The sequence below is a fragment of the Homo sapiens genome, chromosome 18 (assembly GCF_000001405.40).
Source record: "Homo sapiens chromosome 18, GRCh38.p14 Primary Assembly".
NCBI classification, from domain to species: Eukaryota; Metazoa; Chordata; class Mammalia; order Primates; family Hominidae; genus Homo; species Homo sapiens.
The window spans coordinates 63739198-63764774 of NC_000018.10; the positions used below are offsets into that span (position 1 = coordinate 63739198).

At 39.5% G+C, this 25577-nt stretch overlaps 1 protein-coding gene across 1 annotated transcript in view; it reads left to right on the top strand.

The window, feature by feature from the left end:
* Positions 13860 to 25577, top strand: part of SERPINB7 (serpin family B member 7) — a 52314-nt gene continuing 40596 nt past the window's right edge. The window contains exon 1 of the mRNA NM_001040147.3: positions 13860 to 13923. The gene's annotated coding sequence lies outside the window, so the exon portion shown is untranslated. The remainder of the gene's footprint in view (positions 13924 to 25577) is intronic.

Sequence of the window (25577 nt, forward strand, 5' to 3'; positions counted from 1 at the left end):
AGAAATCCCCAGCACGGTCTTGGAGAATCTTTGACCATCATTGTTAAAAAGTCTCTTTGTTAAGAGGTAATAAGACTGTTGGGGGGCTGGGCGCGGTGGCTCACACCTGTAATCCCAGCACTTTGGGAGGCTGAGGCGGGCAGATCATGAGGTCAGGAGATTGAGACGATTCTGGCTAACACGGTGAAACCCATATCTACTAAAAATACAAAAAATTAGCCGGGGTGGTGGTGGGCGCCTGTAGTCCCAGCTACTCAGGAGGCTGAGGCAGGAGAATGGCGTGAACCTGGGAGGTGGGGCTTGCGGTGAGCCGAGATAGCGCCAGTGCACTCCAGCTTGGATGACAGAGCGAGACTCTGTCTCAGAACAAACAAACAAACAAACAAACAAACAAAACAAAACAAAAAAGCAAACTGTTGGGTGGGAATTTACCAGACTGGGATTTGGCAGGGTTTCCAGGTTTTTTCTCTTAAAAATTTATTTCAGATTCAGGGGTTAAAAGAGTATATTGCCAATTTTGGGGGATTGGGCTTCTAATGTACCCATGACCCATACAGTGAACATTGTACCTGATAGGTAATTTTTCAATCATTGCCCCCTTACCCTTCCACCTTTCTGGAGTCCCCAGTGTCTATTATTTCCATCTTTACATTCACGTGGACCCATTGTTTAGTTCCCATTTATAAGAGAACATGCAGTATTTAGAGACTCCAGGTTCTATATCCGAGCCAGAGATTTGTTTTTGTAAATTCTGCTTTTTGTTAATTAAATGTTTGTATCACCCTTATAGCCTGTGTCTTCCAGATGACAACAAACTAATAGTCTGGATTAGATCCCACTGATAACTGTGTGTTCTTCTGAATCCCACTCCTCCTTCTTCTGGTTCCCCCAAACCCTCTCTGAGATTCACCACTCTTCCTGAACTCCTCGTGCTTTACTCAGTGTAAAATCTGCTCCCATGTCCTGAGCTCACAGAACAATGGTGAAGCCTATGACTTAGCTGACAGGTTCATGAAGGTCTGACCCTCCTGATGTTGCCATGTCTACAACTGCTTCTGGCCAAATGTCCCTGAGTTCCTGGAGCTGCTGCTCCTGCCCATAGGGCTTGAGAATTTGATGTTGTCAGGTATTTCTGGGCTGGTTGTAGAAGCTGGGGTGGCAAGACTCTCACCATCTGTTGGCTGTAATCCCATTCTGTCATTCTAATCAGGGCTGACTTGACCTCCCAGTCTTGTTCAGATGTTGCAGAAGTTCTTTGAACTGTTCCATGGTGCCTTTTCTCTCTGAGATTCAGACTGTGGTGGGGAGAGGAACATGACCTGAGCAGACAGGTGGGCTGCTTGCATAATCACCCCTCATCTCCCAGCCTGAACCACGTCCTTTGGTCATGGACATCCTGACTCTGACTCTGCACTTGAGCATAAATTCTTTCCAGGATGTTTCTTTTTTCCTCATTCAAATAATCTCCATTAGGCTCCCTCACCACTTCTTCATGTGCTCCCATGCCACCCGAATTCCTGCATAATCACAGGGGTCCATCTGGGACCCTGGCCATGCTCGTAATTCCCACTTAGAGATATCAGACTCTGAGCTTCAGCTTCTATCTAAATTGCAACCTCAGTACACACTCTCAATCCCTCTTTGCTGTTTTACTTTTCTCATTAGCATTTACTTCTCTCTTGACATACACTTTACTTATTTATCTTGTTTACTGGCAATATCTCCCTACTAGAATGTAAGTTTCATGAGGGCAGGGGTTTTATATTTTTGTGTTGTCTCAGCAACAACAATTCCGGGAGCATGGTAGATCTTCAATAAATATCAGTTGAATGAATGACAGAATTCATTCTTTAACTGTTTTGATGCTTTTAGTACCTACTATGTTGTAGAATTGCAAAGTGAAGAGCAATGGCCTGAGTGAGATAAGCTGGGTGGAGTTAGTGCACTGAACTTGGCCCATGACAGAGCTCCACTGACAATTCTAATAAGATTGTTCTATAAGCAAGTTAAGGTGGCTTCAGGTTACAGTGTAGAAAAAAATGTTTTATTTCTACATACACATTCTCTTCTTAGCAAGGAGATGAAAAAGCCTGTGTACTACATATATCAGATGGTTAAAAATACAACTTGTGTTGAGCTGGTTTCCCAGAAGATCTAAGCTACAGTTTAGAAAGGGGAAGCCCAGACTGTCTAACTGAATTCAAGGTGTTGATAACAGAGAGCTTATCTGTTTAGTGGTTGCTGATTTGTTAGGATACGATTCAAATCTTGTAAAATTGTTAGGGATGATTGGCCAAGCGTTGTGGCTCACGCCTGTAATCTCAGCACTTTGGGAGGCCAAGACAGGCAGATCACGAGGTCAGGAGATCGAGACCAGCCTGGCCAACATGGTGAAACCCTGTCTCTACTAAAAATACAAAAATTAGCCTGGCATGGTGGCGGGTGCCTGTAATCCCAGCTACTCGGGAGGCTGAGGCAGGAGAATTGCTTGAACCCGGGACGCAGAGGTTGTAGTGAGCCGAGATCCCACCACTGCATTCCAGTCTGGGTGACATAGCAAGACCCTGTCTCAAAAAAAAAAAAAAAAAAAAAAAGAATTGTTAGGGATGATCAAGAATCTTCTGACATCTCCAAAATGAAGTTTCCTAATATTAAATAAGGTAACGAGTTTTGCCCATTATTCATTGAAATTTTATTCAGCTTTTACATTAAAGTTATAATCCTTTTGTCAACCAGTGTGTATTGAGCTCCTCCTTGTGGATGAGACAGTAACACGGGATGAATAAAAGATATAATCTGTCCTTGTGGAAGCCCAGGATGACAACAGAAACAAGAGCTAACATTTATTGCAGTATTATAACTTCATGCCAGGCACCGTTGTACATATCTCACTAATTTGGTCCCATAACTCTACGTGGCATGTCTTATTGCTATTTTCAGTCCAAGATGAGAAGACAGAGAATTGGACAATGTCAGTGGTTTGCCTAGATCAGTGTTAGTTGCAGAGCCAAGATTTGAGCCTAGGAAGCCCCAGCTTCAGAGTCAATGTCCTGTCCTCCATGCTATTGCTGTAGTAACACCCAGTACATTTGTGGGTGGGGTTAAATTTGCAGTTTAGAGAACTGAGTTCTAATTCTGATTCTCTATAGCTTCTCCTTCAGTCCCACAACTAAGCCTTTGAGATGAACGACACTAGTTTAGATGGAGCACTGCACTGCTCACTGCAGAAATCAGCTCCTCCCTGTGGCTAAGCTTTTTCCTGGCTCAGGTCCTAGAACCTTTGACTTTTACAAACTTTCTCACCCACCATACAGATGCATCCTCTCTGTTTCAGCTTTTGTGTGTGATAGTACTCCTCTAGCCTTTGTGCTGGGAGGTCATTGTTGACTTAGTGCTTGTCTCTTTCTTTTCTCTCTCTGTCTTTTTTTTTTCTTTTTTTTTTTTGAGATGGAGTCTTGCTGTCACCCAGGCTGGAGTGCAGTGGCATGATCTCAGATCACTGCAATCTTTGCCTCCTGGGTTCAAGGGATTCTCGTACCTCAGCCTCCCGAATAGCTGGGATTATAGGCACTGACCACCATGCCCAGCTAATTTGTGTATTTTTAGTAGAGACGGGGTTTCTCCATGTTGGCCAGGCTGGTCTTGAGCCCATGACCTCAAGCGATCTGCCCACCTTGCCCTTCTAAAGTGCTGGGATTACAGGTGTGAGCCACCGTGCCCGGCCCTGAACTCCTTATTTCACAAGGCTCAAGGTTTCTGCATCCCAGCAGACATCCAGTTGCCCGGGAGATGTCGATTTCTCCTAGTGGCAAGTACCTCCCTCTCTATGTGTGTTTTCTTTCTCTTAAATCCAGCTCCCCCGCCTATGGTATAAGGTATGGGGAATTTATCCCCCTCTCCTTCATGTGGAGAGAAGCAGCATCCCTTTCCCCTTTTCCTCCCAAGAAACCCCCATTCTCTAACCTCCAGGGGAAAATCCTCAGCATCCTCTCCAGTATCTTGGATGTGAGCCTTGAGGTCAGGGTCATCAGACCAGGCCCATGGTGTCTTGGCCTATCTTGAGTGGATGCCCTGGTAGCCCTCTTTACAGCATGATGCATGCTTATTATCTGCTAATATCTGCCTTGGACCAGCAGACAAACTCAGAAATGAGACAAGTCCCATTTAACATTATTACATCTATATTTTATTATAGGATGAAGTTGGAATTGGAGTTTTCTGGGGTAGATCTGGGGAGGACTTAGTCTACAAGCAAGTCAGGAATGGGATAGGGTTTAAATAGTCTCTGAGAAGGTGGGGAGCCTGTAATGTACCCTGAAACCTGTTTGCTTAGCTATACCATGCCAAGTGGGATAGCTCCCTTTGAAGATTTTTATTTCCACATTATGTAGACAGCTCCAGGGGAAAGGGCCCCAGGAGAGAGGACAGGCAAGAACACCATTGGCCGTGGCTTGGGCCGATGAGAACAACAGCTACACCTTAGCTCCAGGGACAGGCTTCCTCAAAGAAATTACAACCATTTTGGCCCTTTTATGCAGGTGGCTGCAGAGGTCGATGCCTTGGAAATAAGTTCCCCAGCAGCAGGGTAGAAAAGACACAGTGAGATACATCATACTTAAGATTCAACTGGGAGCATACCAGGGATGCTCTATAATGTAATCGAGGGAAGGTTGAATGAAACAAAGTGATTTATCATCTATAACTTCAAACCTATTGGTGTTTTGACATCAACTCTGTTAACATTATGTTATCATTTCATAGAGTCTTTGATATACAAATAAAATTTTATTTGTATTTAAAATAAAAGAAAAGGTACAGTGAGGAAGTAACAGCAATTGCCAAAGACATGTGCCTATTGCTCAGTAGGAGATCATAGCTGTATAACTTACAGTTGTCACTTAAGTTTTTGGCCAAATAAAGCAAGGAAAACATAGGTTCTCAAATATCCTAAGGGCTACATCAGAGAATCATAAAAAATACCAATTATTAATAATAATAGTTGATATTTATTGAGGTTTTACTCTGTGCTTGCCTTGTGTTAAGTGTTTTATAGTTATTTGTCATTTGTTCTGCAACAGCAACCAACAGGGTAGGTGATACAATCAACCATATTTTAAAGTTTAGACAATGCAGGCTCAGAGAGATTAAGCAATTTACCTGAGGACACACAGTAAGTCAAAGAACCAGAATCTAAACTCAAGTTTCGTTTCAGTGACTATTGCTGCAATTCAAACTACCCCAAACCTTAGTGGTTTAAGAGAGCAGCAGTCATTTCATTATCTCTCTCTTTTTTTTTTTTTGTGAAGGGCTTGATTGGTTGTTCTGGCTAGGGATATTTTATATATAAAATATGTACATATGAAATATATATGAAATATATATAATATATATAAAATATATATAATATATAAAATAATATATATAAAATAAATATGTATTTCACATATGAAATATATGTATGAAATATATATTTCATACATATATTTCACATATACATTTCATATATATTTCATATATATTTCATATATATATGAAATCATGCAGCAGCTCCAATTATACAACATTCTATGGGTTATAAATAAATCCCAAACCTGCTCAGATTGAAGGGGATGTTAATTAGACTCTAACTCTTAAGGGCAAGTGGCAGAATTCTAGAAAACTGTGTAGGATAGGAAATTTTGTTGTGAATGTCTTTGAAAAATACATCTACTACAGATCTTTTGAGTCCAAAGCCTAGGTACATAACCGCCAGGCTGTATCATTTTCCTGAAGGGGCATCAGGAGCCACACACTGATTTTTCTAGCTTTGATGTATCATAGTATTTTTTAATGAAGTTAAAGTAATTGGTTAACTGTATATCCAAAAGTTGTTCTTTCTTAGCCCTTTAAAATATTTTATGTAATATTTACAAGTCAGAATTCTTTGCAAATTCATGTTTCTTACTGTTGAGTTTAAACGATATAGTCAAGGTAAGTATAGGAATTTAGATGAAAAAGAAGTTTTTGTCAGGAAAGGCTTTGTAGAGGGGTTAGGACTTTAGCTAGTTTTGATGCATGAGGAGGATTAGGAGGTCAAACATAGCAGGACATCATTAGGACAGGGGATGATGGTGTTGAGGGCGTCAGACCCCAAATGGAGGATCTTAGGGAAGGAGAAAAAGGGCTCAGAGAGATATGGGCTTATCATACTTATGGCCATGACAATTCTTTGAGATCATTTGGTCTAAGCATCTTTGTTTAGACATAAATCATCTAAAACCCAACAAATTTGAAAGATTTGTCCAAGATCACATAGGAAGTTAATAAATATAATGGTGAAGAAACTCCAGAATTCTTTTTCTCTCTGTCTCTTTCTCCTTCCTTCCTTCCTTCCTTTTTTCTTCCTTCCTTTCTCTCTCCTTCCTTCCTCCTTCCTCCTTCCTTCCTTCCTTCCTTCCTTCCTTCCTTCCTTCCTTCCTTCCTTCCTTCCTTCCTTCCTTCCTTCCTTCCTTTCTTTCTTTCTTTCTTTCTTTCTTTCTTTCTTTCTTTCTTTCTTTCTTTCTTTCTTTCTTTCTTTCTTTCTTTCTTTCTTTCTTTCTTGCTGGAGTTTCGCTCTCATTGCCCAGGCTGGAGTGCAATGGCACGATCTTGGCTCACTGCAACATCTACCTCCCTGGTTCAAGCGATTCTCCAGCCTCAGCCTCCCAAGTAGCTGGGGTTACTGACACCCGCCACCACACCTGGCTAATTTTTTTGTATTTTTAGTAGAGGTGAGGTTTCACCATACTGGCCAGGCTAGTCTCGAACTCCTGACCTCAGATGATCTGCCCACTTCGTCCTCCCAAAGTGCTGGGATTACAGGCATGAGCCACTGCGCCCAGCCCAGAGTTCTTATTTCTTTACACTCGATAGACAGAGACCAGATTGTGTACTCATTTGAATCCCACATCGATAAATTTGAATGTTATTTGAAAGCTGTAGAGAACACTTGATATTTCTGATTAAGAAAATGAACATATTTAATTCATACATGCTAACTGGCAGGTCAAAACCCGTGGAAAGATTTTGTACAGATTCTAGTGAACTATGGATGGCAGTTTACCATCCAAACACTAGATAGCAGACTCAGTTGTAGGAGGGGGAGGAGGATGTGATAGGCATATGGTATTTAATTTCTAAATCTTATCTTGGATTCTCCTGGTAAAATAGTTTGTGGGGTATTTCACTTAGGCATTATAAATATCTATCATTACAAATTTCTACTGATTAAATTTTCTTTCAGTATGAATGTAAGAGCTCCATTTTTCCCCTTTATATATTCATTGTTTGCCAAATCTATAAAAGGAGTATACATTACAGAGTAGGAAATTTGGCCATCTCATTCATGACCACATCTAGAACAGTATCTGGCCTACAGTAGGGGCCCGAGATATTTGAAATTTTATTCGCTTTATTTTTTCATGTTCTGAGCACATCATTTTTAAAAGCCTATTTTAATTTGAAGAGTCTTTGTCGTACAAAAAAGCAAGCATGGTATGAAGTGTGGCCTTATATCTTTCAGCCCATTAACCAAAACATTAACATCTTACATAACCATAGTACAAATATCTAGAGTAAAAAATACTATTGGTACAACTGTATTAACTTAACTATACACCTTATTTGAATCGTACCCATTTGTGCCCCCTACCCACCAACTAATGCCGCCTTTGTGGTTCTGGGATCTTACCCAGAATTTCCCGTTACATTTAGTTACTATTTCTTCTGAGTCTCCTCCATTTTCTAACAGTTCCTTGGTCTTTGTGTTTTGTCGCCTTGACAAGTCTGAAGAGTACTGATTAGGCACTTTATAGATTGTCCATTAGTATTGACTTATCCAATTATAAATGAGGGTATGCATTTTTGGTAAAAACTCAGGACATAATATTGTGTCCTCAGTGCACCGCATCAAGGTATTTACAATGTTGGTGTGTCTCATGGTGGGTGATGTTTAACTCGATCACTTGGTCAGTTTGATGATTGCTGATTTCTCCAGTGCCAAGTTACTTCCCCCCAACTTTGTAGTTAATAAATACCTTTGAGGAGATTCTCTGAGACAATGCTAATTCTGCTTTTCCTCTTGCCCTCAAACTTCAGGTTCTATTTTTGCTCTATAATTATGCTGTGTTATCTATTTGGCCAAATTGCTATTCTGCTGGCTTCATTTTTCATTCTTAGATGATCAAGAATGTACATCTACTCTACATCTACTATCTGTTGACCAGTTTTAGATATAATATTTTTTACTGATGGCTAATTATTTTCCCAGACCAAAGCTTTCTTCACCTCAGTTTTAATATTTCTAAAGTGAGAAGCTATGCTCTGAAAATACTGGGAGAAAATGCCAACAATAATTAATGGAATAGGTTCTACACTCTTAATTTCATTGAAAATATAAAGAGGCCTATTTACAAAAATTTATACAGTGATATAAACATGTAAAAATACAGAAAACCTCAAAGAAATAGCTTATTAATAATTCTTCCCTCAACTCTAAACTTTGTTAAAATTATGCAAATATTCTCCCAGAATTTTCCTATGTGTATATTCACATATATCTAAATTTGTATTTTAGAAAGGATCATATTATATATACCATGTTAAGTTTCTTTTTGTATTTAACATATTCTGAGCATATCTCTCTCAATAAGCATTCTCTATAAAATAATTATTAAGCGCTGTACTGTATTCATTTACAGGATACAGCAGGATTTATATAAATAATTCCTTATTAATGTATATTTATTATTTGCTTAATTTTTAAAATTGAAATGCAGGAGACAAAATTTAGGAATAATATTTGAGGGTTACTTACTTCCTTGATTCTTCATATCCACCTTCTAGGCTTTCAATGTACACTGTCTTCATGAAGAAAGTGTATAGGATGTGGAACAGAGACACTACTGAGGTTTCTTAATCAATTTTCTAGACTCACAGTCATGTCAATAGTCTTGGAAGTCTTGACAAAGGTCTAATATCTAGACTGTACAGGGAACTTAAACAGATTTCCAAAACAGTAACAAACAACCCCATTATAAAGTGGGCAAAGGATACGAACAGACACTTCTCAAAACAAGACATTTTTGTATGCAGCCAACAAACATGAAAAAAAAGCTCATCATCACTGGTCATTAGAGAAATGCAAATCAAAATCACAATGAGATACCATCTCACGCCAGTTAGAATGGTGATCATTAAAAAGTCAGGAAACAACTGATGCTGGAGAGGATGTGGAGAAATAGGAATGCTTTTACATTATTGGTGGGAGTATAAATTAGTTCAACCATTGTGGAAGACAGTGTAGTGATTCTTCAAGGATCTAGAACTAGAAATACCATTTGACCCAGAAATCCCATTACTGAGTATATACCCAAAGGATTATAAATCATTCTATTATAAAGACACATGCACACGTATGTTTATTGAAGCACTATTTACAATAGCAAAGACTTGAAACCAACCCAAATGCCCACCAATAATAGACTGGATAAAGAAAATGTGGCACATATACACTGTGGAATACTATGCAGCCATAAAAAAGAATGAGTTCATGTCCTTTGCAGGGACGTGGATGAAGCTGGAAACCATCATTCTCAGCAAACTAACACAGGAACAGAAAAGCAAACACCGCCATGTTCTCACTCACAAGTGGGAGTTGAACAATAAGAACACATGGGCACAGGGAGGGGAACACCACACACTGGGGCCTGTTTGGGGGGTGGGGAGCAAGGGGAGGGATAACTTTGGGAGAGATACCTAATGCATGTGGGGCTTAAAACCTAGATGACGGATTGAGGGGTGCAGCAAACCACCATGGCACATGTATACCTATGTAACAAACCTACACATTCTGCATATGTATCTCAGAACTTAAAGTATAATTTTTAAAAAAAGAAAGTCAACATTTTGCTTGCACATACTGAATTTTAAGGAGACTAGTTCTTCCCATTTCTGAAATTTGACACTCAGTATACAGGTGCAAACCATGAAAGAAGCAGAATATGCAGCTAATTTGGTACGCATTTCTATTGAGAACTGAAACAACTGGATTATAACATAGACCTAAGGTTGGCTCTAGAAAATACTTCTCAAGAGTAGTCCAAAGTAGTTGCTGTAATTTATACTTCTATCAGCAATATATGAGAGTTCCAGTTCCTCTACATCCTCAGCAACACTTGTATTACCAGTCTTACTAAAAATACTCACTTTAATGGGTGTGCAGTGGTACCTTACTGTGGTCTTAATTTGCATTTTTCTGGTGACTAATGATGTTGAGAATTTTTTCATAAGCTTTTGGACATTTGGATTTTCTCATTTGTGAAGTTTCTGTTCAAATTGTTTGTGAAGTTCCTGCTTGACATTTTCTACTGGGCTATCTTTTCTTTTATTATTGATTTGTGGAATTACTTGATACATTCTGGGTAATAGATCTTTCTCAGAAATATTTATTGCAAATTATTTATTTATTTATTTATTTATTTATTTATTTATTTATTTATTTATAGGAAGGGTCACGGAGCTTCCATGTCCTCCCTGGGCATGCCAACCTCCTGGAACCTCCACCATCTAGAAGCTATCTGGGAGCTCTACAAATATTTTCTACCACTCTGTGGTATGTCTTTTTCTTTTCTTAAAGGAGATTTTTTTGATGACTGGAGGTTCTTAATTTTAATGAAATCAGTTTATTAATATTTTTCTTTATAGTTAATGCTTTTTGTGATCCATTAACATTTTTGTCTAAACCAAGTTGATGAAGATATTCCCCTTTGTTATCTTCTAGAAGTCTTTTTGTTTAATCATTTTACTTTAGATCTGTAAGCCATCTGAAATTTATTTTTGTGACCCCTGTAAAATATGGATTAAACTTCATTTTTTGAAAAAGGTATGGATATCCAGTAGATCCAGACCATTTACTGGAAAGACTCTCTGTCCCTCTTCCTTTACTTAATGGTGACTTTGTTTGAAAGCAACATGAAATTGGCTGGTCTGTTTTTGGCCGCCCTCTTCTATTCTGCTGCTCTGTTTGCCTATCTTTGCACCAATATCATAGTCTTAATTACTGTAGCCTTATAGTTGGCATCTGCTAATGTAAGGCTCCAATTTCATTTTTAAACTTCAAGATTGTCTTCATTATTCTTGGCCTTCTTTCTTTTGATAAAAATTTTAGAATCAACCTGGCAATTTACAACACATATACACAAAAAAACCTGCTAAATTTTGATTGGAATAGCAAAAAAGAAAAAAAAAGATGGAAAATTTGGGAAAATTGACATGTTTATAATATTGAGTGTTCCATTCCATAAACATGATATATCTATCCTGCTGTTTAAGTGTTCCTTCATTTCTTCTTGTTAATTATATTCTTCAATTTTTTTTCTGGTCTCTCACATACTTTGATTTTTTTTTGATCACTTTATAAATGTCATAAGTAATTAAACTTTATTAATTCACTGTTGCAAATGTCGGGACAGAAGAAGAGATTCAGGGTCATGGGCAAGCCTAGTAGGGAGAATTTGTTTCTGTGCAGTCACTTCTCTGTTTTGATTGTTTTTGTTTTATTTTCCTTTTTTTCTTGTGGTGTTGGTTGTTTTCCAAACCCTTGATCTAGGTGCAGAGTCCTCTGTAGCTAGTCATCCAGTTCACTTTTGGCTGTAACAACCCTGCTTTATTCACTAATTTATAATAAGCCACATTGGGAATTCATTCTTCCAAAACTTTGTCAATGATGAATTTCTTTGCACATCTGGTTTTCAAGGCCACTTTTGTCAGTCAACTACTCACTATAAAGACATGTCTTGTCATCTCAGGAAATCCCTCTTCAGGGGCTTTTTGCCTTTATATCTATCTGAATTTCTAGGATCCCTTGTCACTCTGCCTTCAAATCCCATCACTTTATAAGCAAAAGAGATTCCATATGAAGCTATTCTCGGTCGGTCTTGCTGCCTGCACCATCCCACACGCCCATCCTTCTGTTTTCATGTTCAGGTGTGGAGGGCAGGGCTTCCATCGCCTGCTCCCTCAAGGTCATTGCTTACTGTAACGGTGATTTGCAAGTGAACTCTGGTTATCTTTCCATGAAATTTCTGGTACTGACATTATTCCCTTATCAACAGTGATGGAAGTTTCCCTTATTACAAATTTTATGTCATTTCTAATAACATTATATCAGGAATAGGATGAGGTGGGTGAGAATTACATTTGTGTTTCCAAAACTCATCTTCCCCCCACAATTTGAAATGGTTTTACTAGTGAATATATGAGAGTATAGTGATTCATATTTATGTCTCCATACTCACGAAGCCATGACCATATTCAATATCAAAGTTAAAATGGCAATATTTTAATAAGATAGATAAAATTTGTATTTTCCATACAGATGATGGAGGAGTGCAAAAAATGAAAGGTCTTTTTCTGAAAGGTAATGCAGGAACTGTTAAGGTGTTTACAACGGATATTTATCATCATGACCAACCCAAAATAGTACCTAAAATGCAATTAATTAAGCACCTACTTATCAAGTGCTTACCAGGTTTCTTGTAGTATGTTCAACACAATGTAGATTTTAAAACAGCATGGCTTGGTTTTTGTGTTTAGGAAAGGATTTTGTACTAAATGACTTATAAGTGACGTAAGTAGTGACTTATGAGTGACAATCTAAAATTATACAGCAGTGGAAATATTTAGTAAAATCATATGATAAAAGAATATTATTAAGAAATAAAGAACTCAATATAGGCTCATAATAATATGGAAGATGATGGAAATGGTGGAAGTTTGGGTGGCCTTGAGTAATAGGCAATATATGGATAGGTGGAGTACTCATACATCCTGGATTTTCCTGTCTCAACTTATTATTATAATAATAGCTACACTTATCAAGTGGTTACTGTGTACTAAGTACTTTACATGTTACCTATAATACTCTTAACCATGACGTTATGAAAAATTTCCCCATTTTTCAAACAAGTGAAGCAAGATACAGACAGGTTGAAGAGCCTCTCAAAGGTCACATGGGTCCAAGATGGGGAGCTGGAATTGGAACCCAGGTTTGCGTGGCTCTAAGCCTTAGCTGTGACACCCCACCTCATGTATTTTGCATCCAAGGGCATACTTTCTGGAAGGTATATCTTGAGTCTGTCTCAGAATATCTGGTCTCTGCTGTGTATGTGGGCTGTCAGTGCTTCTCCAGAGCTGTATATTGCCACTTGATATTGGTAAAAACCATCTGTATGTTGCAAACTTATCATGAGATCTGTGACTTGAGTCACCTCCTCTTTTGGGGAGACCATTTGAACCCTAGTCAATGACTGCCATGGAAATAGATAAAACCCAGGCATCTAACCTTGGTCCTCGGTGGAGGATTGGATTGTCCAAAGTCTGTTCTCCTGGCTCTGGCTCCCTCCTGGGTCCTTCCCTGGTTCTAACCTGCTGGCCCTGATTCCTGACTCTAAGGCTACAACCTGCCATATGTCCAGGCACACACAGTTGGAAAGGGAATGTGAAAGGACAATCTTTAGAATGTTTACTTCTCTGGTTTGTTGGTCAATGGAAGGATGAGCAACACGACACCATGGGGCACTCCTCTGTGCTTCCTGCAGAGTCGGGAGATGACAAGTGCCTTTCTGAGCTGGACAGGAAAGCCCCTGTGGAGTCCCTTCCTGATGTTCCCTCCATGATTTTCCTCTTTGTGCAGTCTGGGATGAAGGAGGGACTTTTCATTCAGTGCTGTCACCAGTGCTGCTGCTGTCATCAACCTCTCCCTTGGGAGTTGAGCCAAAGGGAAGTCTTGGGAATTTTCCCTGAACCTTGGTATAGGTGTGCTGGGAGGAGTGAGAAGTCTTAGGAGGTAGGAGGCAGGAGGAACTGAAGCCCAGCTGTGAAGGCCGCAGACTGCAGTGAGAGGAGGTGAGTGCTTATGCTGGGTTATTCTAGGCTTCTGAGTATGCTTAGATTCCCTAAGATGGATGGACAGCCCCTAGTGCCTGAGGTGCTGCATGCCCTGAGCATTTACCTGCTGTCAAAGTAACAGCTTTACCTCTGGCATCTGGGATTCTGGCAGACACATACCCCTTTCCAGGGTAACCACAGCCAATCTCTGTTCTCCACATGGTTGTTGTAGACTAATCTTGGGGATTAGAATGACAATTGACGGCCGCATCTATAACATTGGCCAACATATTTAATAGAGAAAATTCAGCTTTATTCCTTACCTTATGAAAAAAAAGTGCCTACTGACGGCTGAATAGACCCCTAAGCTTATACAAGATAGCTCATACACCAACTATATCTACTACCTGTGTCTGGGCTTTCTATCTCTGGTGTCACAGACCTACTGATTAAATATATGTGAGTGAATGAATTGATATTTACAAGCTAGTTTTACTTTTTTGTTAAGCAAATGATCCAGAACCCAGGTGACAAGTTACATGCCAACTCCCAGGTCGATCACAATACAACCATGATGATAATTCCCTAAAAGGTCTTCTATGTGTTGGACATTCCTTGTTGATTATAATCAATGATATTTGGCAACTTTAGCAACAATTTTGAGAGGTTTGAGGTTTCAAAAAAATTTTTTAGTAATATGAGGCACTTTTGAGTACTTGATAGAATGATTCAGAATCAGAGGTTCTCCAACAAATCCCAAACTATGTATAGCTGAGCTTTAGAATAACTCCATCTTATAACTGTCTTCTACAATGACTTACAACCTTGACATCTCTGCTAATATTTTTGCCCTCAATATAAACAAACTAGAGTGTGGGCTGCTCATGGGAAGGGAAAAGATTCTAAAACCTGTGGCTGATGGAACAGAAATGGTAACAGCAGAACATCTTGTATTTAATCATAGTTGTATCTGGAAGATTTTCATCCAAAGTCTTTGGCAGGGTTTTTAATGCTAATATATAAGCATAGTAGTTTACTTATGTTAATAAATAAAATCGCATTGATTTCTTGACAGAGTTTAAATAAATCTATTCTGGAAGATTTTTTAAAGAGTTATGAAGTCTACCATTTGTCTGAAATGTGGTTTAGAGATTGATAGAGGATAGAATTAGGAAGAAATAAATTTCACGCCAAGGGAATATGTAGTTTCATTTATGTTGAATGAATGAAGGCTGGGTTCGGGTTTGTTACAAAATGAAAACAGATTGTCTTCTTCATTCTTGGAGAACTAATCAGATTATGTTTTCCTGTCTGAACTTGGTCTCGTTGCCATAGGTAATGCTGAGGAGAACACCGGTAAACAGATAATCATAAGAGGCATTTAGTAGGTACGAGCCCTGTCGTCTAAGGGTGGTCCCTAGAGGAGCAAAGACGCTGGTCAGAGGTAACACTAGTCATTAGGGTGGTCCCGAGAGAGACTCAGGTTAGGAGGGTGGGCAGGACACGCAGGTATCAGTCCCTCCCTTGGAGCCCCACCCTCCACCCAGCAGACCTTGCTAGTCTCTCTCCTTCCCTCTGCCAGATGGAGTTTCAGCATCATTTCCACTCCGAAGCTTTCTCAAGCACTTCTTCAAGCACTTTAGAAATACTTCCACCATCACTGTTTTCACACTGTAGTCTGATTTTCAAATTTATTTCTAGATCACGGACTTTGAAGGGACAGGCAGGGAAAATGTCCTAACAATTTTCTAGTGCCCAGCATTGTTTAAACTGAGGTCTTTTTTTTTTTTTTTTTTTTTTTTTTTTTTGAGACGGAGTCTCGCTCTGTCGCCCAGGCCGGACTGCGGACTGCAGTGGCGCAATCTCGGCTCACTGCAAGCTCCGCTTCCCGGGTTCACGCCATTCTCCTGCCTCAGCCTCCCGAGTAGCTGGGACTACAGGCGCCCGCCACCGCGCCCGGCTAATTTTTTGTATTTTTTTTTTAGTAGAGACGGGGTTTCACCTTGTTAGCCAGGATGGTCTCGATCTCCTGACCTCATGATCCACCCGCCTCGGCCTCCCAAAGTGCTGGGATTACAGGCGTGAGCCACCGCGCCCGGCCTAAACTGAGGTCTTAAGTTGAGGTGGTGTTTCAGGCTATAGTTAGAGGCCTTTACTTTCTTTTTCTTCTATTTCTTCTGAAATGGATGAAAAATACATTTTTCATGGATTCTTTTCATTTCGTGTCCTCCTTGTTTTCAGTTTTTCTTTATGAGAAGTCAAGAGCAATTTTTGGATTGCAGGAGGCATGAATAGGGACAAAAATTAAAGACAAACATGAAACTGAGCTTAGTTTCTTTCTACTGGCCTTCTTTTTTCATAACTAGTTTGTTTCAGTAGCAGACACTGAAGTTTGAGGTTTAGCTGAGCAAAATTCGCTTGAAAAAGTATCATTTTAAAAGGTGAATTAGTGAGGCAAGCTATGCTTAACAGATCTGCAATTTGAAGAATATTTTAAGTCCCTATTTAGGCCAGGTTCAGTGACTCAGTCCTGTAACCACAGCACTTTGGGAGACTGAGGTGGGAGGATTGCTTGAGCCCGGGAATTGGAGACAAGCCTGGACAACATAGCAAGACCCTGTCTCTACAAAAAATTAAAAAAAATAGCTAGATATGGTGGTGTATACTTGTAGTCCCAGCTGCTTGGAAGGCTGAGGTGTGAGAATTGCTTGAACCCAGAAGTTTGAGGCAGCAATGAGCTGTGATGATGCCACTGTGCCCCAGCCTAGGTAACAAAGTGAGACCCTGTCTCTAAAACAAAAACTTCTATTCAACTGTTGACATTAAATGAATCATTTTGTGAATAAAAAGTATAAAGTTCTTATATAAGGTCATTACAGTGAGTCAAGAACGGTGGAAACAAATAGTAACAATGTTCATTGATATATAAATATATATATACATCACTTACAGCATAATACAATATAATATAAATATTATATATAGGGTTTACACACACACACACACACACACACACTCATATATGTAATATATTTAGTGTTTACACATGAACTTTTGAGGTTTAAAAGTAGGTGCTTTTCCTCAATGTGCACAGGTATTAACTAACAAGAACATGCCTTAGCAGACACAAAGCCAAGGCCAGAAATGTTTCTTCCACATGTTTTTACCTGTTTCAATGTGAAATTGTAAACTCTACCATGTACCAGATACCAGAAAATCATTAGACTGTGTGGGTGTGTAAAATGTTTGGGCAAACTGGAATGGATTTTCCTGGATATCACAGAGTAACTTGTCTTTCTGTCCATGGAACACGGAATACCAGTTTGTGAGTGGTTTAGTTCCAGACTCATGTGCAGGACTCAGCAGAGGGATCAAATGAGGACACAGCAATGCATCAATAAGCCCAAACCAGTCTCTTATTAAAGGTTTTTTAAAGCCACACAGCCATTCACTCTTATCCAACAGAGTGGGCCCAGGTCTCCACTCCATCCTGGTAGAGATCAGGGTGGAGGATAGGTAGAGGTTCCCACCTTCATGCTCGGCATTATTTGAGGAGCTTGAGAAGAAGATTCTGTGAGATTAGAGGGCATTAATAAGCATCTGGATCATCTAGGGTGGGAAGGCCTGGCACTTTATTTTCCTCCCATATTTCTATTGTGTATTTTGGGTTTTGCCAGTTGTTTCCAGGGTCTTGGGGTAGCTTGTGTGTGTGTGTGTGTGTGTGTGTGTGTGTGTGTGTGTGTTCTGTGAGTAGAAATAAAGAAACTTATAAAGACTCTAATTTCTTTGTAGTTGGCAATAAAGTGAATTAAAAGCCTTCTTTCACTCAAATTCTATACCTTTTCCTATTTCAATCGCTATCACCATTTTTGAAAGTTTCCATTCCATGTTAAGAGTTAGTAGTACATGAATGTCTTCTTTTGAGAAGTATCTGTTCATGTGCTTAGCCCACTGTTTAATAGAGTTGTTTGTTTTTTTTCTTGTAAATTTGTTAAAGTCCCTTGTGGTTTCTGGATATGAGACCTTTGTAAGATGGATAGATTGCAAAAATTTTCTCTCACTCTGAGTTTCACATTCTTTGTCTAGGAAATTCAATCAGCCACAAAATGAAAATTTAGCTCAGGTTTTCTGATTCTTATAAAGCCAAAAAATGGTGTGTAAATCCTCTCTCATCCATTATAACATGTATAGCCCTGGGAAAGCAATTGAATAACTTGAAATCTCAATCCTCAGCTGCAAAATGGGAATCAAAAACTAAGTAGTATTAATAATATCAAAGCTTGTGAAAATCAAGAGAGATGCTAATTTGCTATTATCTGTTGCTGGATTTAGCTGGTGCAATAAAGTTGTAAGGTCAGTTACAGATCTGTCAAGATTTAACTGTGTTGTTTGCCAAGGACTTTAGGGTAGGGGTTGGCAAACTCTGGTCATTGGTCCAAAACTGGCTGGACACCTGATTTTATAAATAAAATTTTATTGAAACACAGCCATGTCTATTTGCTTACATATTTCCTATGTCTGCTTTAGTGTCACTGCTGAAAAATTGAGTTGTGCTGGATGAATGCATGGCCCACAAAGCCAGACATATTTACTATTTGGCTTCTTGCAGAAAAAGTTGACCAATCTCTGCTCTTGGGAGTTCCTAATGAAACACATTCTGTAACCTTCTACAATGCATTGCTTAATCTTTCATTTAACTGTAAGCACTGGCAGTATGCTAAACAAAATAATAGCAGAGCACCCCTTCAAGTCCAGAATCTAGTTTACCTTCCTAGGTTTTGCCAAGGGTTCCTTTCTTGATTGCCTATGAATCCCTAATCTGCTCCCTCAAGTACAAGTAGCTTCATCAGGAGGATCAGAAGGGTGTGTTGTCCTTCCATTTTAATAAGCATTTCTTCATACTTTGTGTTACTATCACATTGCCACATTCTCATGGTGCGTAGCTTCTCTGTATCTCTCTGTGTCTCTCTCTCTATCACTCCTGCTCTCCCTCTTTCTCTCTCTAAAGTACATGCATGCATGCACAAACACACATACTGTATCATTGTCATTGCCAACTTTGGCCTATATAGCAGATAACAAAGGCATGATCAATGTGATCTTAAAATGTTAAAAGATATAAACCCCCAGAAATTTTTAGTAGCGTTGTTACCATGACTTATCCCAATAACTAATTATGGCCAGAAGCAGACATCAACAACAGCAATGGAACAGATATCTTTTTCCTCAGATGCTTGTTCACTTTCTGCCTGATAGGACTTCAATTTTATAGTGACTGAATTTTTTACTGTCTAGAAAAGATCAGGTAATATAAAGTGAAGCAAAAATTCATGAACCCTTTTCTTAAAGATGCTCTCTGATTCGCTGAAGCACTGGGAAATCTACCCACGTGTAGAAACTGGTTCTAAATAAGAATAATGTGTCTATTATCAGCTGGTCTCAAATCCTCTGTATCTGGCCCCTGGAGAGGTAGCAGTTGACTGTAGAAAGATATTTCAGGGATATTTTTTATAATAAGAAAAGAATTCTTTAGGCCCTGCTCCCTCCAATGACCAGAAGGTCATATTATCTGGGTCTCTGCTATAAAGCTTAAAAAGGAAATCCTCACGACAATCTTGGTGATAGCATGTGATGGTCCCACCTCCTTCTAGCCCTCTACCCCCTCACCAAGAAGAATGAATACTCTGAGAGTTATACTCTTTGCTTTGGCAGAAAGCCCAGCTCACTACAGCATCCTCACAGAGTCCAAGTGTACTAAAGCGTGAAGAGCAAGAACTGTGCTGAGTGGTGGGGTCCAAGAGTTTTCATATTAAGCCTTAAATGTTTAAGAAGAAATTTAAAGGGATGTCAAGCCTTGAGTGGAATCATCACTAAATGTGGACCCACTTCTTGGTGAGTGGCTGTCAAGTAATTTTGATAATGACCTCCTAATACGTTTCTACTTGATCATATGCATGGGTGCATACACACAAAAGAATATTTGCTCCTGCTATGAGTAGGCTTCATGGTCTATCCTATTCTATTCTACTCTTCTGATGTATCCTATCCTATCTTATATTTTAATGCATCTCATTTTTGTTTTTTAAAGCTGGTGTTTAACTATTAAATGTATTGTGTTTTTCCAAGTGATTTGTAATCTGAATTAAAAAAAAAAAAGTGAGTAGGCAAGGGTCAGTAATGCCATTACCTGGAGCATTGCTGTTTAAAGAATTAAAATTGTTCAAAAATTTTCCAATTAAAATTGACAATTGGAAAATAATGTCTATTTTCCTTCACAGAAGAACATGACAAAGGAGCTTAACTGAGAGCACACAGGCCTCTCTGGGTGCATATGTAGGTTTTTTTCCTTCCAAAACCAATTTTTAAGAATCCTTCTTTTCTTTTTTATTGTAGTACCAGGCTTTCCTCTTCCATTATTATTTTTTTCTTTCTATTTGTTTTCTCCCTCTCTGCCTTTTACCAGTAGCTCATCTGGTAACTGGAAGGGCTCCCATGCTCTCTCCTACCCCTGAAGTGGGGTTTGGCTGTGTCTCCACCCAAATTCTCATCTTGAATTGTATCTCCCAGAATTCCCATGTGTTGTGGAAGGACCCAGAGGGAGGTAATTGAATCAAGGTGGTTGGTCTTTCCCATGCTATTCTTGTCATAGTGAGTAAGTCTCATGAGATCGTATGAGTTTATCAGGGGTTTCCGCTCTTGCTTCTTCCTCATTTTCTCTTGTCACTACCATGTAAGAAGTGCTTCTCACCTCCCCCCATGATTCTGAGGCCTCCACAGCCATGTGGAACTGTAAGTCCAATGAAACCTCTTTTTCTTCCCAGTCTCAGGTATGTCTTTATCAGCAGCGTGAAAACAGACTAATACAGTAAATTGGTACCAGGAGTGGGGTGTTGCTGAAAAAATACCCAAAAATGTGGAAGTGACTTTGGAACTGGGTAACAGGCAGAGGTTGGAATAGTTTGGAGGGCTCAGAAGACAGGAAAATGTGGGAAAGTTTGGAACTTCCTAGAGACTTGATGAATGGCTTTGCCCAAAATGCTGATAGCAATATGGACAATAAAGTCCAGGCTGAGGTGATCTCTGATGGAGATGAGGAACTTGTTGGGAACTGGAGCAAAGGTGACTCTTGTTATGTTTTAGCAAAGAGACTGGTGGCTTTTTGCCCCTGCCCTAGAGATTTGTGAAACTTTGAACTTGAAAATGATGATTTAGGATATCTGGTGGAAGAAATTTCTAAGGAGCAAAGCATTCGAGAGGTGACTTGGGTATTGTTAAAGGCATTCTGTTTTATAAGGGAAGCAGAGCAAAAAGTTTGGAAAATTTGCAGCCTGACTATGTGATAGAAAAGAAAAACCCATTTTCTGGGGAGAAATTCAAGCTGGCTGCAGAAATTTGCATAAGTAGCAAGGAGCCTAATGTTAATCCCCAAGATCATAGGGAAAATGTCTCCAGACCATGTCAGAGACCTTCATGGTGGCCCCTCCCATTGCAGGCCTGGAGACCCAGGAGGAAAAAGTGGTTTTGTGGGCTGGGCCCAGGGTCCTCGTATTGTGTGCAGCCTAGGGTCTTGGTGCCCTCTGTCCCAGCTGCTCCAGCAGTGGCTGAAAGGGGCCAATGTACAGCTCGGGCTATGGCTTCAGAGGGTGGAAGACCCAAGCCTTGGCAGCTTCCATGTGGTGTTGAGCCTGCAGGTTCACAGAAGTCAAGAATTGAGGTTTGGGAACCTCTGCCTAGATTTCAGAAGATGTATAGAAATTCCTGGATGCCCAGGCAAAAGTTTGCTGTAGGAGTGGTCCTCTCATGGAGAACCTTTGCTAGGGCAGTGCAGAAGGGAAATGTGGGGTTGAAGCCCCCACATAGAGTCCCTACTGGGCTACTGCCTAGTGGGGCTGTGAGAAGAGGGCCACTGTCCTTCAGACCCCAGAATGGGAAGATCCACTGACAGCTTGTACTTTGCGCCTGGAAAAGCCACACACACTCAACACCAGGCCATGAAAGCAGCTGGGAGGCAGGCTGTATCCTGCAAAGCCACAGGGGCAGAGCTGTCCAAGACCATGGAAACCCACCTCTTGCATCAGCATGACCTGGATGTGAGACCTGGAGGCAAAGGAGATTATTTTGGAGCTTTAAAATTTGACTGCCCTGCTGGATTTCAAACTTGCATGGGCCCTGTAATCCCTTTGTTTTGTCCAATTTCTCCCATTTGGAATGGCTGTATTTACCCAATTCCTGTGCCACCATTGTATCTAGGAAGTAACTAACTTGCTTTTGATTTTACAGGCTCATAGACAGAAGGGACTTGCCTTGTCTCAAGTGAGACTTTGGACTGTGAACTTTTGGGTTAATGCTGAAATGAGTTAAGACTTTGGGGGACTGTTGGGAAGGCGTGATTGGTTTTAAAATGTGAGGACATGAGATTTGGAGGGGCCAGGGACTAAATGATATGGTTTGACTGTGTCCCCATCCAAATCTCAACTCAAATTTTATCTCCCAGAATTCCCACATGTTGTGGGAGGGACCCAGGGAGAGGCAATTGAATCATGGAGGCCAGTCTTTCCTGTGCTATTCTCGTGATAGTGAATAAGTCTCACAAGATCTGATGGATTTATCAGGGGTTTCCGCTTTTGCTTCTTCCTCATTTTCTCTTGCTGCCGCCATGTAAGAAGTGCCTTTCACCTCCTGCCATGATTATGAGGCCTCCCAAGCTATGTGGAACTGTAAGTTCAATTAAACTTTTTTTTCTTTTTCTTCCCAATCTCAGGTATGTCTTTATCAGCCGTGCAAAAACAGACTAATACACCTGGCGTGTCCTGCTGGGGCCACCTCTCTGTCTTCTAGGTCTGACCTGATCCAACTTATCTTTCAGGTCTACATTTCTGTGGAAAACAGTTTCTAATTCTTCTAGGACTCAGTGACGTCTACTTCCATGTTGTCCAAACAGCATCACTTATGGTAGTTTTCATGCCACCTCGTAATTGCTTGTGAGTTGTTTCCCTTAGTGGACTGTGGGACCATGGAGGGCAAGAACTGGGTCTTCTGCTCCACAGTAACCCTGCAATGTGGTGCCAAGCCCAGCACCCACCAGGCCTGTGAAGAAAATTCGTTCAGTCAATGAGTGGATGAATGAATCTATTGACTGGAGGGGGAAAAGGCCACTGGATGAAGGATTTCAAAGGGCAAATTTATTAAAATTAATTCCACTACACTTATCTTCTTTGGTTTAATGTGCAGGCTGGTCTCTAAAATAAGATTGTCATATTTTTCTTATCTCTGCAGAGACAGTCTTTGTAGGTTGATTCAGAACTCACTTGCCCAGAACATTCCACTATTATTGAGTCTGATTTACAGATTACGTGCATTGGTATGCATATCAGGTGCTTGAAGACACTGAGGCCTCCTGGATATGCTTATGAGATGAAAGGAAATGGGAAGAGATTATATGTATTGAGGATTCTAGCTGCAGGCACAGTCAGGAGAACTGCATATGCCAAGGATCTGATTTGCCTTATTTCCCCCCCATGATAGCTCTGGGGGAGTGACGAGAGCAGAAAACTAACAAGAGTTAGAAGGCCTGATCTTTGCTGACACATTTGATACTCACTTGTTCTGTGGTTTTGAGCAGTTTTTTAATCTTTGACTTTCCATGTACAAATGTTTATGAGAAGAGTCATTTAATGTGATGACATCTTTCATGAGAGTCAGCAATGCCTTCTGGATTCATTTTTATTTCTCAATCACCACTATTTGATCATAAAACAGGAGTTATATAAATATAACAAGATAATATTTTAAAGTAAACATTAAATTTAATTACCTGCATGTTCTTAATATTAGCAGATAATTGTGGATTAAGACGTAGATGACATTTGCCTTGAGGTTAGGTCATATTCCTATTTTTAGATTACCTCAGTAAAAGGGGGGTTTCAGCTACTATAGTGTAGCATAAAACATACTCCTTTAACTGTGGATTTGGGTGAATTGGGGTTAGACTACAAGGTAGATGAAAATCTTGCTCTGGACTGAGATTGGGCACCATTGCTGATATCATATGAGCCTCTGCTTTTCGTAATCAAAGTGCTGACATAATTTTTCTGAGTTATTACAGGAAATTGTTGAAAATTCTATATCTCTACCATGTTTTGTGCTTCAACTTTCCTGCTACTATTTTTTTAACAAGCAGAAATACTATGCTAACCAATGGAAACAACTAATATATCGTCCAGAAAGTAATTTAGTTACTAGAATAAACTGTTCTTAGAATTTCTGCTGTTATTATGTAACTATTTAATAATTTTCAATCTAACATGGTTTTATGTTGGAGCTGGTCTAAATATTGTAATATTTAAAAAATTGGTAAGTAATCCACCTTTCATTTATGAGACAATCTAAAAATAGGTTTGTCTTCTTTTAAAATAATTCTGATGAAGTCACAGCCAGAAGCTAAATTTGGTAGTGGTCAAATTCATCATGTGCTGCCTAAAGGATGATACTAATCCAAAAATTAAATATCTGATGTTAAACTGTTATGGAAATATGAAGCACTTACAAAGAGTACCTTAAATAATAAAAAGTCAGAGAATGAAGTTAAAGGCTAAAGAATGAGTTTCAGCTTTCACTGGTGCCTTTGACTTGGGTTTAATAAGGCAGAAATTATTGGCCATTGGGTAAATAATATTGTAGCTACTTTTCTTTATTAAAAATCATGTCCTGTGAACATGAACTAATTACTTTACTAAATCAAGGAAATTTCTAATGTCTTAAATCCTAACATTTCACCATGCTATTCTTTGAGAATTCCATGACTTGGGAATGCATTTCAGGCCAATGAACCCAGAAAAGAACAAGTTCGACCTGTGTTACTAAATGGGTCACTGTAGAGAATTGCATTACAATACAATTGTATAGTATTTCCCAAGTTATGAAAACAGAAACTCTGCATGCCATTTCTATGGTATGAGCTAAATTAGAGGCAGGCCCTAGAGTGAAGCTTACTCAACCTTCAGGGTAAAGAAACAAATTTTCCCAAGAGTTGAATTCTTATAAGTGATTGTTAACCTGATAGGCTTGGATGAATTTTTCTCTATCACTTACAGCCGTGGTTCCCAATATCTTGGGTAGGATTATGTGAGGGCAGTGGGATTTGGTTTGCTAAACTAAGAAGGTGTTACCACTCTACTGTTCTGTGGGCCTTAGCCCAATTACTGTGTCTGGGGATTTCAAAAACAAATTGTTTTCTGACTAATTCATATTCAAATAAACATATGAGTGACAAAGTGGTTTGGCCCTTTCTTGAAGGAACTCAGGTTTCTGCTTATTTGAGCTCTGACTGTCCCTATCCATGTGGCTGCTGAGTGGAGAGTCAAGAGGAAACTTCTCACTCATCTCTCAGGAGGGGCTGTTCCCAAGCACCAAGGCTATTCTTAGGTAACAGGTGACTCGATGTGTTTTTAAAATCATAGAAATTAATAATTCCACTATACTCTCCAGTCAGGTATTTCTCTCGAAAAATAAACACTGAAATATACTCTTATTAAACAATTTTAATTGGCAAAAAAAATGGACATATGAATGGAGCAGAGTGTAACTCAGAAATAGACTGTTAGAAAGTTAAAACAGCTTGTGATGCATGGGTATCACACATCTTTTGGGAAAAGAGAGCTTAAAGAAATAAT